Genomic DNA, 1,502 nt, shown 5'->3' on the forward strand with positions numbered 1-1,502 from the left:
GGTTTGCATAAATAAGCAAAAACATAGTTTTGTTTATTTACACTTTCTTTCCCCGAGAACTTCACAGGCAATACTAAACTCCATTCCGGCATTTAATGTCACTCTGGAGAAGTCTGGGGCTGATTTGAATTTTTACGCTTCTGGGTGAGTTGATCTTTCTTTTAGCTATAGGCAGAGACAATGTTTTTCTCATTCTTTATCATTCTGTGTCTATTTTTAAAGACAATGTGCTCTTTCAAACTATAGATTTAATTCTTCTTCCTTTATCTTGGAAGAATTTTAAAATTTATTTTATTTTTAATTTTGTATTTGACATATAATAATTGTACATATTTATGGGGTATATAGTGATATTTCATATAATATATAGTGATCAGATCAGGGTAATTATTCTATCATCTCAGACATTTATCATTTCTTTGAGAACATTCAGTATCATCTCAAACATTTATCATTTCTTTGTTTTGAGAACATTCAGTATTCAGGAGGAATTTTTTTATAGTTATATTCTTTCAGTAGGCAGGATTCTAAAAATAATTCCAAATATTCCACACTTTAAGCTCTGTAATATGTGATAATGATAAATTATCTTTCCTGTGATTATGTTTTATTGTAAGGCACAGTTGATCTTACAATAAGTAGCTTATATGGGTGGACCAAATCCAATCTCTCGAGCCCTTTTAAAAGCAGAGAGTCTTCTCCAATCGATGGCTGAACACAAAGTCAGGGAGAATAGAAGCATAAGAATTTGGTAGATGGTTGCTGGCTTTGGGGGCAGACAGGCCACATGGCAAGGAACAGAATGCAGGCAACCTCTGAACATTATCAGTGGCCTACAGCTAGCAGCAGAAAACAAGGACAGCAGACCTACAACTCAACAAATGGAATTTAACCAACAATCTGAATCAGCTTAGAAGGTGATTCTTCTCCAAATCCTTCAGATGAGAGCACAGTTGGTCAACTCTCATTTCAGACTGCTGAAACCCTAATCAGAGAGCCCAGCTGAACCACACTGGATTTCTTTCTTCTTCTCCTTCTCCTTCTCTTTCTCCTTCTCCTTCTCCTTTCCCTTCTCCTTCTCCTTCCCCTTCTCCTTCTCCTTCCCCTTCCCCTTCTCCTTCCCCTTCTTCCCCTTCTTGCTGCTGCTGCTTCTCCTTCTGCTCCTCCTCCTCCTCCTCCTCCTCCTTCTTCTTCTTCTCCTTCTCCTTCTTCGCTTTTATTTTAGATACAGGGGTACGTGTGCATAGTACACAACAGGTAGTTTTTCAATCCATGTTCTCTTCCTTCTCTCCCTTCTCTAGTGCCACAGAATCCATTGTTCCCATGTTTATGTCCATGTGTGCTCAGTGTTTAGCTCCCACTTATAAGTGAGAACATACAGTATTTGGTTTTCTGTCCTGTGTTAGTTCGCTGAGGATTACGGCCTCTATCTCCATCCATGTTGCTGCGAAGCCTGGATTTCTAAACTGCAGAAACTGTAAGATAATAGATGAGTCTTGTTT

Source organism: Homo sapiens, chromosome 8 (genome assembly GCF_000001405.40).
Source record: "Homo sapiens chromosome 8, GRCh38.p14 Primary Assembly".
Taxonomy (NCBI): Eukaryota; Metazoa; Chordata; class Mammalia; order Primates; family Hominidae; genus Homo; species Homo sapiens.